Source organism: Homo sapiens, chromosome 11 (genome assembly GCF_000001405.40).
Source record: "Homo sapiens chromosome 11, GRCh38.p14 Primary Assembly".
NCBI lineage: Eukaryota > Metazoa > Chordata > Mammalia > Primates > Hominidae > Homo > Homo sapiens.
The window spans coordinates 94,138,131-94,155,935 of NC_000011.10; the positions used below are offsets into that span (position 1 = coordinate 94,138,131).

General features: G+C 42.7%; 1 protein-coding gene across 3 annotated transcripts in view, besides 1 other annotated feature; it reads left to right on the forward strand.

Annotated features, from left to right (window-relative positions):
* PANX1 (pannexin 1) overlaps positions 1-17,805 on the forward strand; it is a 53,128-nt gene that overhangs the window by 9,290 nt on the left and 26,033 nt on the right. The window contains exon 2 of one of the 3 annotated variants that reach the window (NM_015368.4): positions 15,361-15,500. In NM_015368.4, coding sequence (NP_056183.2) covers positions 15,361-15,500 — 140 coding nt within the window. Of the gene's footprint in view, positions 1-15,360; positions 15,501-17,805 lie in introns of those variants that run through there. The other 2 variants (XM_047426702.1, XM_011542734.3) reach the window with 2 other exon arrangements.
* Positions 13,790-14,989: an enhancer, noted in NCBI's record as "MED14-independent group 3 enhancer chr11:93885086-93886285 (GRCh37/hg19 assembly coordinates)". NCBI's record gives its function as "activates an origin of replication core promoter dependent on BRD2, BRD4, P300/CBP and CDK7 cofactors, and independent of MED14, by STARR-seq in HCT116 cells {active_cell/tissue: HCT116}" and the evidence as "EXISTENCE:reporter gene assay evidence [ECO:0000049][PMID:35650434]".

Below are 17,805 nucleotides of genomic sequence, written 5' to 3' on the forward strand. Positions count from 1 at the left end.
GGTTGGGTTGCCCTCTGGATAGACCCCCAATGGATACTTCTCCCCGCAGCTGAAGGAGTGGCTTTCCCCACAGCTGGCAAAAGTTAGTGGATTATCGTCCACAGCTTAATAGGTGAACAAAGGTGTGCCATTGTTTTAAGTCGCATTTATTCAGTTACGGCATTGAATGTTTTTTCGTATGTATTTTTTCCATTTATATAATTCTGTGAATTGTCTGTTCTTATCTTTTGCTTATTTTTCCAAGGGGATGTTGGTTTCTCAATGGGTTTTATTAACTATTTCTATGTTTCAAATATTTTCTAGCTAGCCTTTATTGTATTTTCTTTTCCGGTTGTCCGTTTCCTTTGAATTCTGTTTATGTTAAGCATTTTTGTTTTTTAATTTTTAATTTTTGTTGGTATGTAAAGGTATATATTCATGGGGTATGTGAGATATTTTGACACAGGCATACAATGTGTAATAATCACATCAGGAGAAATTGGGTATCCATCTCCTCAAGTATTTATCCTTCGTTACAAACAATCCAGTTGTACTCTTTCAGTTATCTTAAAATGTAAAATTAAATTATTATTGACTACAGTCACTCTATTGTGCCATCAAATACTGGATCTTATTCATTCTATTTTTATGCCCATTAACCATCCCCATTTCCCCTGACAGCCATCCCTCAGTAACCTTTACAGTATAAGTTTTGATAAGCAGAAGTTATTTTAAGTCATCAAAACTACCCATCTTTTAATTATTTCTTCAGTTGCATTATGATTAGACTGTCATAGCCCATCCTTAGGTCTATCAGTTTTTTAAAATGATCTTTAATGATTTTATTTGAACATTTACCTCTACAGTCTGTTTTGTTCTTTTGGTGCTATAAGTCAAGACTCTAGCTGATAATCCCCCCATTGTCATTTATTGAGGAACCCGTTCGTTATTCATTGATCCTTGATGATTTCCCAATCATATAGTCAACTCAAGTAAGTGAGCCTATTTTTGGGCTGTTTATATTGTTCCACTGGTCTATTAATTTTCATGAAAATACCAGACCATCCATTTTGTCACTGCTTTCATACTGGCTTGTTTTTAGATGTGAGTAGATACCTAGGTAAATTAAAGTTATAAAATATTAGAATCATGACAGGGAAACTGAAGCTCAGCAATCTAAGTGAGTGACTTGCTTGGCACCAATTGTCACATCGCCTTAGCAGATTAATTTCTCATAATATATCAGATATTTAAAAGGCTCTTGAATTATAGGAAGAGCATCATTATCAGCAGGATCCTTACTGGAAACTTGTCAGGCTATCTCACTATTGGACCTTTTAAAATATTGTAGTTATGAGGAACACTATTTTGATATATAATAAATATTTATTTGGTCTTTGGTTTCCCAGCACTCTGCTGATGAGGTCACTGATGGCAGTGGTCTCCTGGATAGCCTTGTGAGCCAGGCTTGTTGCCAAGGGAACCAACTATGTGATTAGAGGGTTGAGACTCTCAGCCCCAACCCCTGACCTCACGGGAGGGGAGAGGGCCTGAAGCCTGAGTTGATCACTAGTGGCTCATGATCTAATCAACCATGCCTGCATAGAAACCCAGGGAGAGGGTTCCGAGGGCATCCACGTTACATCCACGCTGGGAGGGTTGTGCATCCCAACTCCATGGGGACAGAAGCTCCTTCACTCAGGACCCTTCTGAACCTCGCTCTGTGTATCTCTTTACCTGTCTGTTCATTTGTATCCTTTAAAAGATCCTTTTTCGTAAATTGCCAATAGTAAGTAAAGGGTTTGCCTTAGTTTGTAAGTCACTCTAGCAAATGAATGAACCATAGGAAGGGGTTGTAGGAATCCTCAATTTATAGCTGGTTGGTCAGAAGTTCTATTACTGCTGTTCTTGTAATTGTGGGAAGCTGTAATAAATAATGGATGGGCTAAATAGAGTAGAAATGCTTTGAAAAAGATTACAACTTCCAGATCGGTTCAGAAAGTGGTGAATATTTCAGTATGAAGGATAAATAGGCTATACATGGACTTGGTGCTTCAGCTAATGAGACAGGCCCATTCATGGGTACCCCATGGCTGTCCTGGGGTGCTCACTGCATCAGCCCCAGGAGGTCCCCTCACCTTACTGCTGGTGTGGCAGTGGAGGGAGTTTTCCAGGTTAATTTTAATTTGCCAAATGTCTATATATGTCGAAGTTCAGACAGTAAGAGGAAACATTAAAGCCCTGCCCTTTTTTATGGACACACCTCAATCTCAGTTTCTTCCCCAGAGGTAACTACTGTTCCTGTTTAGTGCATATTCTTTTACAGTGCTCATTTTTTTGCAGTTTGCTCATTTATCTTTAATATGTCCCAGAGATATCTTCATGTTAGTGCATGCAGATCTGCCTCATCTTTTTAAATGTGCCACAATTTTCCATCATGTGACTATACCTCAATTCATTTAACCGTCTGTTTATGGGCTAGTATGTTCATTCCACTTTTTCCTACTACAAACAGTGGTTTAATGAACATCCTTGCATGTGCTTCTTTGTGCAGAATGTGTTTCTCTAGAGCCGTGGTTCTCAAACATTTTGGTCTTAGGACCCCTTTACACCCTTAAAATTTCTTGAGAATTCCAAAGAGATTTTGTTGTCTATTGGTATTTATCATATTAGAAATTAAAACTGACAGACTTAAAAATATTTATTAATTGATTTAAAGTAAACCCATTACATGTTCAGGTATAACATATTTTTATGAAAAATAATTATAAAACAAAAACTTAGTAATAAGAATAGCATTATTTTCTATTTTTGAAAATCTACTTAATATTTCATTTCATAGTAGATGACTGGATTCTGGATTCTCATTCATTATGTTGTAATATCCCACATCAGTAGCCCCCAAAACTGCACTGCATACACTCATGAGAGAACGAGAGTAGAAAGGTAAGTAACAACGTAGTATCGTGAACATAGTTTTAATGTCGTGAACCTCCTGAAAAGGTCTCAGGTTTCAGGGTTTCCAGACCACATTTTGAGAACCGTTGTTCTAGTGGGGTTTGAAATCAGAGGGACAAAAGTTGTGCACATTTTAAATTTAAAAGACACTTTCAACTGCCTTCCAGAATACCAGTTTACACTCCCATCACCAATATAGGCCAACCCCGCCCTACTTCTTTACCAATGTTTAATACTTTCAGAGTTTTAAATTTGCCAATCTTAATGGTTAAAATGCCATCTCATTGTTTTAGCTTGTAGTTCCCTATTTACACTGGGATTTCATGAGACACACATTTCTGGGCTCACTGTGACACTTGGCGGTGTCTGGTGACTGCCCCCTCCCTCCCCAGTGCCCACCTTTTTCTTTGGCCTGGGATGTTTGATCCTAGAGAGACTGACAGGTCTCCGCTTGTTTTCCTTGGCTTATGAAATACCCCTTCCTTCTGAAATCCATCTTAACTATTTTTTAATTAATTTTTTTAAGCTAAAATGTTTTTTTCAAAAAACCCTAGTTGTTTCACTTCTGAGCCCTCTGTTTCCTGTTTACATTTAGTCAACTAGCAAATATTATTTATTAGGAAATGTGAATAATGATTAAGGCATGAGTTATAAAGCCAGACTTCCTGGGTTCCAATTCTGGCATGGCACACATTGACTGTGAGACCTTGGACAAGTTACAGAATTTCTCAGTGCCTAGCCTCCTTGTCAGTAAATGGGGCAGTAATAGAATTCTCACCTGTGTCACAGGGTGAGAATTAAATAAATTAGCGCTCGAAGCACTGGAACGGTGTCTGGTACGTAGGAAGCACTCAGCGCAGGTTAGCTGCTAAACATCCCCTAATCCTGTTTTGGCCCTTTGACAGGTGACGACCTGGGGCTGCTGGGGTTGGGGAATGTGTCTGGGGCACACAGAGTGGGGCTAGAGTGCATTGCTCTTTCCAGAGCCTGGGTTCTCAGGCACTGCTGTGTGCTCTCTGCCCCTTCCTGTCGTGTGTCTGCGGGACACAGGACTGCGTGGGGCAAGCTCACAGCCCAGCTCAGAAGCTGCTGGTTTGTGCTGGGTCTCCGGCTCTGCTGCCCTAGGATTATCTTCCCTACCCCTTGGATTCCTGCTGGGGAGGGTGCCTAGTCTGTTAAGCGCCACCACCAACCTCACCCTCAGTTCAGCACTGCAGCCTCAGCTGGTCATTAGGAACATGGGTGTATGGATTATAGTACCACTGGGGACTTGAAAACACAAAACACAGCTCCTCACCCTCACCTACCAAGCCCTCCTTGCCTTTACTCATAAATTTAAGTCTGGACTTCCCAGTCTGTCACCCCAGGATGTCCTTTATCTGACCCCAGCTTGACTGTGTGCTCCAGACACAGTGGTCTGCTTCCTGTCTTAAATGGGCTGTCAGCTTTAAGGACTCAGTGTTTTCTTGCGCTGTTTTCCAAGCCTAGGTTCCCTTCTCTCCTCCTTTGAGTACGAACATTTGTCATGGTTCAGTCATTACCCTTATGTGATTTGTTTTCATCTACAATAATTGGTGGTTTATATCCTTGGCTGCCTCCACTGGACTGTAAGCCCTTGGAGGGCTGAGACCAAGTCTTCTTTATCTTTGAATCCCTTGCATTGCATATGGTACCATGTACATAATAGCCCAGTGAATGCTTTTTGGGTTAAGCGCCACACAGTTGAGCTGAGTGCCTTAGGGAGAATACCTGTGCTCTGTTGCCCCGTGTAGAAACGGGAAGAATGGAGCCCTGGGGAGGGCGTGCTCCTGGTATAAAGGCCATGTGGCATTAAATACCCAGCTCTGATGAAAAAGTGTGGATGTCCCTTTTCTTTTTTGAGGTTCCTTGAAAAAGTGTTTGCCACTCTAGCATCTGCATCTGTCATGAGTTTTTGTCTATTTAGAATGCCCTTGTTTGCAAAGAGATCTCATGACCAGTTGTCTACATAATAGTAACAGTCATTGTAAGTCCTTTTCATGTTGCCAGAGTCACTAATCTTTGTTTCAGTACTGAATTTAAACACTCAAGGCCTTGTCCTACACAAAAGGGTTTCTTTGTCGCAAGAACTACAAAATCCAGCTTTTAAAAGGCATCTTTGAGGGAGAGATGATGCAGAAGGACTTAATGAAGTTGGATCTAGTTTCAGGCTGTGGCCCCTTTAAATCTAAGATCCCAGTTATCCAAGGAGGCCTGCTTTCATGATGTGTTTGCTCTAGTATTGTAGAGGATAAGACAGATGGGTAAACAAATAAATATGAAATTCATGATAAGTGCATGGAAGAAAGTAATAGAGGATGCGACAAGGGAGCCCTCCATTCTTCTATCTCCAGTGCTTACCATGTTGCCTGACAAAGAAATAAAAATACTAGTTCCCATTTACTGAATTCTTAACTGTGTGCTGGTACTATAGCAGACATTTTATTTAATCCTCCTGGGAATTCTGTGAGGTTTTACTAATAAGAAAACCTCAGAGAGGTTAAGTAAGTTGCTGGGAAGTAAAAGAGAAAACCGAATGTCTATTGAATCTAATAGAATCTTTTTTAAAGCAACATTCAGGAATAAAGACTCCAGAGAACCTCTATTTATAGAACACTTACCTAACTTTTCCCCTTTAAGCTAAAAGTCCCTCCTCCATATCTTTTTTTTTTTTTCTTTTTGAGACAGTGTCTCTCTATATTGCCCAGACTGGAGTGTAGTGATGGGAACACGGCTCACTGCAGCCTTGACCTCTGGGGCTCAAGTGATCCTCCTGCCTCAGACTCCCATGTAGGTGGGACCACAGGCGCACGCCACCGTGCCTAGCTAATTTTTAAATTTTTTGTAGAGACGGGGTCTCACTTTATTGCCCAGACTGTTCTCAAACTCATGGCCTCAAGCAGTCCTCCCAAAGCGCTGGGATTATAGGGGTGACCCATGGTGCCCAGTCCCCCTCACCCATATCTAACTGGATTTCTGCTTGTTTCATGCACATTAGGCCTTTGTGTCAGTGAAGACCAGCTGAAGAGTAATTTTGTTCTAACCCTTCTTCTACTTGAAGAAGTCTATTAAAGCTGCCCCTTGGCCTTAAATAGTCTGTTCCTTTAACATTTTTCTGAAGTCAATCCCTCTTCTTCTCCCTCCCCCATTTTTTTTCCATCATTCATTTCTTACAATGCAAAAACCAAGACCAAGCACATTTCCTCTAGTGAATGTGTGACCAGTCTGGGGTTGCTGCAAGGATTCACTTCCCAGCTCTCACATGTCACATTCCTGTTGTGACATTTTTGATGATGTCGTTTTTTTGATCTGGCCCTTTCCTTCCATGGGTCCAGCTTCTGTCTCCACCAGGTGAACTCCACCTGGTGCCCAGTCCCCTCCACCCTGTCAGCAGTCTTTCTGACTCCACACAGAGTAGCCTTAGGCGCTCTGGGTGGGGTTCTCACACTCCAGCCATTGACTGCAGGTGGCTAGTCTTGTCAGCTCTGTGGTTTTTAATGAACTTGGGCCTAGAGCTCGGGACCAGGTTTCTGGGGAGATTGGTGCTGGCCCTTTCTTGCTGCTGCTTGTGTTACGGGCTGGCCTGGCATTCCACAGTGCCCATCCTTCTCCACTCCACCCAGCCTCCATGGCCTGTCTGCACCTTCTCTCCTCCCTGGCCATTCATCCTCAGGGTGTCATAGGTGTTGGGGAAAGAGTATGACCACACACTCAGGGCTGAATTGCAACTTGACCAAGTATTAGCTGTCTTACTTTACTTAACCTCTCTGAGCCTTTATTTCTCCTCTGTAAAATGGGTATAATGATAGCTAGCTCACAGGTTTCTTTTACTAGGTTGAATGAGAGAATCTAATTCCTGTCTTATAGTAGTATTCAGTAAATACCGTCTCCCCCTGATTCTGTGATGGAAAGGAGCTCATATGTCTGATCAGTACATAGGGGAAATGATATCAACATAATATCATATCAGTGTAACTAATCACATTGGTTATATGTGATTTTTTCCAACATGTGAATGATTTGTGCCATCAAGTAACAACATGTGGATGAAGCAAGCCAAAGAGGACTATAGCGTGTACGTGATGCCCCGCTTTCCCCTTGGCTTTGTTTGACCATGTGTTCCATCTTAGAAATGCTGTTATACAGTACTCTCTGCTCTTTGTGCATTTAGTCCTTATATGTGTAACTTGGCAGCCTCAACCTTTCTTTATACACCCCTTAATTGTGCAAGCATGTTTTTATCAGGATTCTAGTGCTGTTGGTTTAAAAAAAAATTGCATAGATTTTTGAGTGATCTGCCCCAAACCTATATGCTCCAGAAGCACTGTTATTTTCGTGGCTTTGCAGAACACGTTTGTGAACATATCAATAGTTGTATAGCAGAGATATTTGGTTTTCTTTTCTTCCTTCCATCTAGCTTTTTGCATTCATGGTCATTTCATGGAACCACAATCTTTGGCCTGTACCAGGCTGGGACCTAGAAGTGATAGAAGAGATTCCTTGCAGACATGTGCTGTGACTGTATCTTCATACCATCTCCTGAGTTATTGCAATAGATTCCTGTCTGGTCTCTGCTTCTGTTCTTGACCCCAGATAGTTGTTGACATAGTGTCCAGACTAAACCGTTTAAAACAAAAATCAGAAACTACCTTTGCTTTAAGAATTCTGAAATTATTTTGTGTACAGTTTGGGATTGAGTAAATGAATAACTATAGATACTGTTGGGAGCCAGGATTCTCACTGTGAAAGAAGAAAGAACAAACATGGGATGGGGGAAGATGAAGAAGAACCCAGTGGTAGTGGATTAGAAGTAAAAGTTTCCATCTCAGTTTACAATTTTTTATAAAAGATTTCTTTTCTAGTTTCTGCTGAAGGGCCTAGGAACAATGGCATCTTAGTAACAAGGAGCACATCGAGCACCCAAATAATGGTTTTAAAATTTCTTTACCCACCAAAAGGAACCCAGAGCTCTTTGCAGAAATGGCCAGTTGCAGAGTGGAAACAGAAAGTAGACGACAAGCCCAGAACATTTTGTACCAGGATCCATGGGACTGCTCAGGAACTGAGGGGAACATGTCGAAGGACACAGGAGCTAGTTTGATAGGAACCATTTGAACATCAGAGTGAATAACAGTAATGGATTATAAAATATTGAATAACAAAGGATTACGTGAGTCCATATTGATACTAAAAAATCAAGAGAAAGCTCTTCTTAATCCATTGCAACTAATACATGTAGAAGGAGCAAATCAAGTTGGAAAAAAAATACTTATTTTGCAACCACATTTAAAGTATTTGATTCACCACTGGGTGAAAGTGTGTTCTGGGACACAATATTGACCCTGTCTGCGAGGATCCCTCCACAGACCACTTATCATTGCACAGGGGGAAAGGCACTTTTACGGCAGAAGAGACCTAGCAGGCAGCACCTTGACTAAGTGCCCACCATAGCTGATGTCACCCAGTTATGGGGGAAAGGTCATCCAATGCTCCCAGGGTGCTGTCCTGAGGACCCACAGCCCTTCCTCGGGATTCCTGCCAGCAATGCAGAATCTGGATTGGAGTTTGGAGAAACAATCAGACAGACCCAAAATGAAGAGCATTGCATTAAACAGGTGGTGCTCGCCACACACATTAGGGTCGCAAATGACAGAGAAAGACAGAGAAAGTTCCAGGATAAGGTGACTACAGAGATAGGACAACTAATGCAATGTGTAGGGCAGGACTGGATCCTGCTTGGATGAAAACAGTTGCTATAAAGGCTCGTTTGGGAGATCTGACTATAGATAATTGCTTGTATCTGGTATTTTAAGAACTTTAGTAATTGCACTAGATTATTTAAAGAGAATGTCCTTGTTTTAGAAGACACACACTTTTGAGAGTAAAGGGTCATGATCTCTGCAACTAACTCCCAAGCGGTTCAGAAAAGTAAAGGATATATTATATATGCATAGAGAGAGAGGGTGTATGGCAGAGTGTTAACACTGGTTGAATCTAAGTGCTGGGTATATCAGATTTCATTGTAATAGTCTTGTAATCTTTTGGTAGGTCTGAAAAAATTTTCAAAATAAAATATTTAATTTTAAATAGATGAGGTAAATAGAGCAAAATGTCAGTATTGCTTTAAACTCTTAGGTGTCTGTTACATTATTTTCTGTATGTTTGAAAATCTGTATTTATCATCTGTAATCTGATGACAAAAGTAAAATATATATATTTAAATACATCCAGTACTTTCATCTTAATATAACATTGAGTTCTTCTGATGCCTTTTTTCCCTGGTACCCAGGTCATGAACTTTTTTTCCACCCAACAGTGGTGACATTTACATTGGAATTATATGGGTTTTTTCTGTGGTTTAGACCTTGTGGGTGTGTGAGGGACTGGACTTGGTAACACAGGGAGGAAACCCCTCAAACTGCTACTTAGTTTTCTTGTCTGTCTATTCTTGTGGGTGTCATCCTGTCTTCGTGGTTGCTTGTGGCTGTCATCTCCAGCCCAGCCTCCTTCTCGTTTCTGTTGCTGCACTTAGCGGGCTGCGTTGTTCATACCGTCATTCCCAATTAAATGAGATAAGCCTCGCAGGTTCCCTTCTGAGGCCCAGCAATGTGGTCATTTGCTCTCTTTGGCTGTGGGGTTGAGTGGTCACATCATGGACCACGCGTTTGGCAGGTACAGACTATTAATTCTTCCCTCCATCTGGTGAGGGCAGTGCTGTCTTGACAGTGCCGTGTCTGATCTGTTGGACTCACAGGGGCAAACCATTCATTCTAAAATGCCCCAGAGTTATTTGTTGATCTATTCAACAGGGTTGGGGAGGGAAGCATCTGGGGCTTCTTGTAATTCATTTAAAAGGAAACATTTGATGATGCTCAGCTTTAGTTAAGGGGCAGGTGTTAGCCCTGATGTGTTCTCTTTAAAAGCCAGGCTTAGCTGTGGGAAAGAAAGACCTGGTGAACCAATGTGGTTTAAAGGAAAAAAAAAAGAAGTATTTCAATTCCATTTTTTAGTTTGGGCTGCGGAGGGTACTTATATTTTCTCACTGGTTTAAAACATGCATGTGCCTCAGAGTCAGTTCCCACAGAAGAAAAGTGAAGGCAGTAATGGACAATTTGGGACATCCAGAATATATTTAATTTCATGTGTTTGAAGCTAAAGATGGGTTTGGATTGAAGTCTGCTGGAAAGGTGAAAGGAGAGGAATTTGGCTTGTTTTTAGTAAGAGAAGTTATTCTGAGATTCTTGTAACATTATTGTATTTTATGATAGTTGAGAACTATAAGTATTGGGCAAGAATACCCTTCGGGGCAAACGTCATTTGGTCTTAGTATGTTGGGGTCAGAGGTACTTTAAACAAATTCAGACCTGTTTCATCCTTCTGAGTGCTTGTTGGTGTTCTGGGTTTGTTTTCAGAGCTGACCACTGTCCATCTCTTCTCTATACCACACATTCAGGGTCCTCTTTGTATGATTGTTCTCACTGAGAATTTATAATAGTTTTCAGATCTTTTGGCAACCTTAAAATATAGCCAGACCTTTCAAGTCTGGTGCTTTATGGGTTGTAATATAATCTACTTGGATCCCATATATATGGGGTATGTGTGTCTATAATTTACATTAAGGTGAATTAAACCAATTTTTTGTTGTGTAACTTAAAATCATTTCGCAGACTTTTAAAATCATGTGTATATGCTAATGATTGTACTTGATATAATCATCATCATATTCTCTGTTTTCCCTTTGAGCCTCCAGAACAACCCCAGGATTTTCTCTCCTGGCTCCTTCCTTCTCATCCCTCCATTGCTGACCTGATTTTCTTTAATAATTTATGCCTTTCACCTCCTCTTTCTTGTGTTTAAAAGGTAGAGAGAGCTGAGTTGATATCCCAGCTTCACAACCCACTAGCCACAAGATCACTGTGCCTCACACCTCACTTTCCTCACCTTTAAAATAGGGGTGAAAGTACACAGCAAGGGTTAGTTCCCTTCTCCTGCCTAGGAGCAGGATCTAACCCTGTGTTATTAATGCATGAGAATGAAAGAAAGCATGTTAAAGGAGAGGAACAAAAAAATGGGGGGCGTAGATCATAGCAAAAGTAAGCCAAAGCCCTCCTGCTGAAGTGGAACAAGAATGGAGAGCCATCCCACTGTGGTGTCTTTGAGAAACCTCTGGCTTGCTCACCCCAGCCCCAGTCCTATTTTTCTTTAGGCTATGTTACTTTCTAATCATTTATAGGTACAGGTCAAGGCTACACCAAGGGCCACCTGTGCTGCTGCTCAGGCAGAAGGTGTGACCAGCACCCTATGCTCCAGGTCAAGGCACCTGGAGGAGGGTGGATGGGGAGATGTCTGTGGCATGGATTGCCACAGACATTATTTAATGGATGTTGTGGCTACTTCCTCTGGGCCTTGTGAGCACACGTTTTCTCCTGGTGATCTGTTATTATATTTGGCCAGACGTACATAAATGTAAAGCCCACAGCTGCCTCTGCACTCTCAGCCAAGTGGAAGTAGTATTCTTTGTTGTTCTTGGCATAAACCTGAAACTCCTTTCTTTCTTTCCTGTACAGTAATAAAAGGCAGTGCATGTCTTGCAAAATCTGTTCCCTAGAAATTATAGCACACACTTGTTAAGCTGACACACAGTGGAGCAGAGCATGGGGCTGTGGCTGGGGATCTCATGGGACTCTGTTTTCTCACCTATCAAGTTGGACAGTGATATCTTTGGGGGATACTTTAACATTAATTGAGATAGTATTTATGATAGTACTTTGAAACTTTCAAAGCACCAGACAGATGTTACTTGGTACACAATCGTGCATGAAGTTCAGAGACAGAATATGTCTTGCCTGTAAAACCTTGATGTAGTACTAGAGGAGATAAGACATATATGTCTATGTGACATGGTTCAAAGTGGTTTTCTGCACATCTCTGATTTAAAGATGTGCAGAAAAGCACTGTGGGAAGTCAGTGGGGGAGGAAGCTTTGTGAAGAGGGTGATGCCTAAGCAGAGCTTTGAAAGATGAGCCATTGAGGAAGATGGTGTGTATGGGGCATTGACTTAACAAGCAGGTTCTGGCAAGAGGGCCTCCGGGCAGAGGGGATCATGTAAGGCATAGATCTGAGTGCATATCAGGCCTATACAAGCCACAGCCTTCATTGAGTTGGATTGGAGCATTGATTTGGATTTGTAACCCAGGCAGTAGGGAACCACTGAAAAATGTTGAGCCCCAGGAGTGGCAAGATAGAACTGAGCTCTAGGATGAATAACTTGGCAACAGTTTAAACAGGTGGAGAAGGGAGAGACTGGAAGACTTCCTGACTCAGACTACTTGGAAAACTCACGAAGATCTAACGTGTTTACCTCCCAATATTATCTTGAAGAGTAAATGAGATAGAGGATGTGGAAATACATTTGAAAAAATGAATCCGGATGGTCCCTGTCCCAAGCTTCCTGGCCCCCGGCCCCCTGGCAGCAGCTGATCACCCTGACCCCTTGCCTTTAGGTGCCTTCAGGCAGCCTGGGTGAAGGTGTGGGCTCAGAGCCCAGCTGTGCCGGTCCCCTGTACCCTCCTGCTTTGCCCCCCTCTTCACTCCTGCTCTTCACTCCCTATTTGTTGCCTGCCCCTCCCTGCCTGGCTCTTGACATCCTTGACTTGGTTTCCCATTTCTGGCCTGGGAATACCCAATACCTGGGGATTGATGTGTTTCTTTTTCTAGAAATGCCCTTGACCCTTCCCAGGAAGCTGTCCCCTTCCTGGCCACTTGGAGGAACCACCTACTTAGACCACACCCATTCCAACAAAGCCCTGGTCCCCAGGAGCTCCTCCAGGGTGGCCTTGCAGGGGTGACTGGCTTAGAGAGGAGTGCTGAGAGAAACTGGGAGTTGGATACAGATTTAAATGAATGCTGCTACCATTCACTAGCTTGGGTAGGGGATTACTGAACTACTTGGAGCTTTGGTTTACTCCAGGGGAAAAGGAAAATAATGATGTGTCTCTCCATTTGGTTGTGAGGCTTAAATGAGGTAATGATTTAAAGGGCTGGTTGGTGTCTAGTGAATATGAGTTGGCCACTGCCTTTTCTTCTGACTTTCCATTCCAGATGAAGACCATTTCTTAAGAGCTTCACATGTTTCTGCCCTCCTCTCTCTATTTTCCTTCTTCCTCTTTTGCAAAAGCTTTAGTATAAAAAGTGTAGTTATTTCTGCTCCAGGAGTTTCTACTGCTGCCTTGAGGGGGAGGTCCTCGAGATCCCAAGATAGAGCTTGAAGCACTCTTTCCTATAGAAAGAATGTTAATAAATGTTGGATACTTGCACAATGAGGACTTTGCCTAAGGAACATTCTGGGCCAGGCAGGCTTTCATGAAATCATAACAGCATTATTCATTTTCATGAGTGAGTACTTGGACAGATATTCCCAAGCAAGCAGCTTATCAGCATCCTTGCCAGAAACCATCTGATTGTAACCTGAGGACTATCTGTCCCCTTAGGTATTTACTGTTGCCCTCATAAGCCTTGGTAGGTGGTTGGCTTAGGAAGCATTTCACACTGATGCGGGAACCGTGTGAGCTTAGTGCCAAGTCCTGTGCTGTCCCGACTACTCATCTTTTTATAAAATCTAAGAACTTAAGTTTAATGGGATAAGACAGTCAGAAGGGACCTTGAAATATCTTACCTGTCCCCCACTCATATTTAAGCCATTCTTGAATGGCAAGAACTACCCCATTATAGAACACTTGCTGATGTTTGTGACTTTTCATGATGATTTCCTGTAAAGCCTCTTGCTGACAAGTCCTTTCTTGATGGCTGTGGGTGCACAGGCCCCTGATGGGGAAGAAATGCTCAGGGCTTTGCCGCATACCACTCCTACCACAAGAATATACTCTCCTGAAAACATCTCCATCACTTCTCTCTTGTACCATAAGCATAAAGGCCACTCCCTCCCCAGGCAAAGATGAGTGTCGAGGCCTTTTATGTGCCAGGGATTAGGGAAATCCAGCTCCGTAACTTCCCACTGTCCCTATCATTGCTCCATAGGGTGGGAAGGGAGAATGGTAGGCACATCCCAGTCTTTAAGGCAATATGAGAATCTACTTGTTGCTTCATCTAGAAAAATGTAACACTAATTCAGCAACTTCTGGGAACCAGACACCCTCGCAAGTGCTGCAGCAAGTTTTGTTTTTTGTTTTTTGTGTGTTTTTTTAATTTTTGTATTCACCACAACAAATCTGTAATGTGGATACACTATTAATGTCATTCCTATTTTAGAGATCCCAGGCTTTGGGAAATTAATGACTTATCAGCTGTGACTCACCCTGCTGAGAGTGGCAGAGTCAAATTTAAATATGACTCATGTCAGAGCCCAGTCACTGAGCACACTCCCAGGCTGTGATGGATGTGGAAGAGAGTGTGCCTGTCATGGAGCCTTAGCTCTGACCCCTATGCCTGTGACACACACACCTTTGAATGTGCCAGGTGGGGACAGGGGATCAGGGCTGGGCCAGGCAAGGCCTAGCGCCAGCCCCTGTGCTACTGGTGGGAAGGGGAGGACACAGCCCTGCCTGAGCCTTACGATCCTATTGGTCAGTTTCCCTCCATGGCCTGTGTGTGTCAGGAGCACAAAGAGTCTTCCAGATGGTAGGTTTTACAGATGTGACGGTAGCATCTGCAGAGAGATGTAATCTTCAGTTTGCAGAGGAGAAAACCAAGTCCCAGAGTCCCTTCCCAGAAGAGCGAGTGAACGGTAGAGCCCCACCAGGACCCAGGTCTTCCCATTCCCCATCTACCGCCCATCTGCTGTTGGGAGGTTTGCAGTCGTGAGCGTTTCCCTTCCAAATGTAAACCAGTTGGGCTGCAGTTTCAGCCTGTTTCTTCTTTAGTGTTACAGGAGGTAGGAAACCACTGATTTCCCATCCAGTGTTCTATTACCAATGTTCCCTTCAGCTTTCTCTTCCTCAGGCTAATAGTTCTTTGCTTCTTTGTTCTAAAAGAACTTGTTTTTTTAGTCCAATTTTCCGCATTCAGGTGCCTCACTGACCCTCCCACATAACCTTTCCTTTTTCTCAATCCTTACTCCAAACTAAACCAGGTCTCTCCACGCTTGCCTCTTGAATTCTGGGCTCTGGTTCTTTTCCTGCTTCCTTTTTCTTTGTATGGTAGTTCTACTTCTTTTAAGAATTTTTCCCCAACTGAGGCCAAGCTGCTATCATGACCAGTGTTGGCCAAAACCACTCTGTGATCTTTTGTTTTAATATGAACTTGGGTGTTTGTTTTTAGTTCTGTCCTAATGTCTCCACCTCCTGTCCTGGTGCTCCCTAACTTAGACAAAACTAAAAACATGTGAGATGGGGACAAGAGTCCAGGTAAGCTGTGTTTTCATTGGAAACTATCTGTTTTGCTTCTTAGGTACACAGATAAGCTGTTTCTCTCCAAGTTCTTTCTCCTGGCGTCAGGCTGCCTTTGTGGATTCATATTGCTGGGCGGCTGTTCAGCAGAAGAACTCACTGCAGAGCGAGTCTGGAAACCTCCCACTGTGGCTGCATAAGGTAAAGGGAGACATTTCCAAATAGAACCTGTTTGCTTTATAGATAAGGAAACTAAAGCCCAGGGAGGCTATGCCAAAGACCACACAGATATTGTAGCCAACCAGTGCTGTATCTCAGATTGTAAAACTGTAGCACCTTATAGTCAAAAAGAACCTCAGAGATGACTTGGTGTAGGCACCATCATTTAGCACAATGGGGCAATGGGAAGTGTTCTTTGAGTTTTAGCTCTATAACAGCAGGCACCTTTTGTGTCTTGACACCTTTATATCATAATGCCCAGCAGGATGTCTGGCCCGTAGTAGGTTCTTAGTACATTTTGAGTGTCTGAATGAGCATAGCTAGACAGTGGCAGAGCTAGGATTCATGCATAGCTTCTCAGCTAGCACCTTTTCTACCACACACAGGGTCTCTTGCAGAAAGTAAGGACTGACCTAGAGTTCAGTTGCTTCTAGCTGATACGTTACTGGAACATCAAAAAGCCTAGTGATGAGGCCCTCTGGGGGTGTTGGCTGTAGCACTGTTTTTGGAATGGATCCCTTTGCTTTTTGATAGATCCAGATACTGCAGGGAAGGGGAGATACTACACAAGAGACACCAATGTCTGGGTTCCACTCCACTTCCCATAGAGAAGAGGTACATTCTGTAGTCAGGGAAGTGGTGGTTTGTGCATGCAGGTGGCAGGGGATGCAGTGAGGAACTTAGGCAGCAGTTGATAAGTTTGTGCAGAAGAATGTTCTCTGAGTTATGAAGTGACTGCATTAGGTCTTCTCTGTGCTTCTGAAAGTAGGACTTTGTTTCAGCCTGTCATTAATTTCAACCACTGTTTCTTTTGTCCATTGTGAAAACAATTAGAATGTGTATCTTCTGGTATTCTTTTCTGCTGAAGAAAATATAGAATTTTAGCTTTCGAAAACCCAAAAGCCAAAGTTTGACTCTCTTCTGCTTTGACCTGCTTCCAGACACACCATCAGCATCCTTCTTCGTAAAAGGAATGATTTAAGGGAGCTATGACTCAGGCATGTTTGTTTATAGTTGACCCTTGAACAATGTGGGGGTCGGGGCACTGGTCCCCTGCACAGTCAAAAATTTGTGTGTAACATTTGACTTCCCCAAAACTTAACTACTGATAGCCTACTGTTGACTGGAAGCCTTACCAATAACATAAACAGTCAATTAACACATATTTTATATGCTATATGTATTATATACTGTATTCTTACAATAAGCTAGAGAACAGAAAATGTTATTAAGAATATTATAAGGAAAAGAAAATATATTTACTATTCAGTTTGTGCAAACGTAATTGTGGGTTTTGCCATTAAAAGTAATTGCAAGGTGGGTGAGGTGGGCGGATCACCTGAAGTCAGGAGTTTGAGACCAGCCTGGCCAACATGGTAAAACCCCGTCTCTACTAAAAATACAAAAATTAACCAGGCGTGGCTGGGTGCGGTGGCTCATGCCTGTAATCCCAGCACTTTGGGAGGCCGAGGCAAGCGGATCACTTGAGGTCAGGAGTTCGAGACCAGCCTGGCCAACATGGTGAAACCCCATCTCCACTAAAAATACAAAAATTAGCTGGGTGTGGTACGGGTGCCTGTAATCCCAGCTACTCGGGAGGCTAAGGCAGGAGAATCGCTTGAGCCCAGGAGGTGGAAGTTGCAGTGAGCTGACATCGTGCCATTGCACTCCAGCCTGGGGAACAAGAGTGGAACTCCATCTCAAAAAAAAAAAAAAAAAGCCAGGCATGCTGGTGCATGCCTGTAGTCTCAGTTACTCGGGAGGCTGAGGCAGGAGAATCACTTGAATGCGGGAGGTAGAGGTTGAAGAGAGCAGAGATCACACCACTGCACTCCAGCATGGGCAACAGAGTGAGACTCCAAAAAATAATAATAATAAAATAAATATATAAAAGTAATGGCAAAACGCGCAATTACTTTTGCTCCAACCTAATATTTATTAAGTGGAAGTGGAACATCATAAAGGTCTTCATCCTCGTTGTCTTTATGTTGAGTAGCTCAGGAGGAGGAGGAAGAGGAGAGGTTGTTCATGCTGTATCAGGAGCGGTAGAGGCAGAAGAAAAGCCCCATAAAAGTGGGCCCATGTAGTTCAAATTCATGTTGTTCAAGCGTCAACTGTACTGCTTGCCATTTTGCATAGTGGTGCCCTATAGTGACTCTTTTCTCCTTTTAGGTTGGGCTTTTCTCTTTATTTTCAGCCATAGGTGGGTTCTCGTCAGCTTTGCATGGTTTAGTAGCCAAGGCAACAAATAATAGGACTTGCAGTGTGAATGACCACAGTTCTAAAG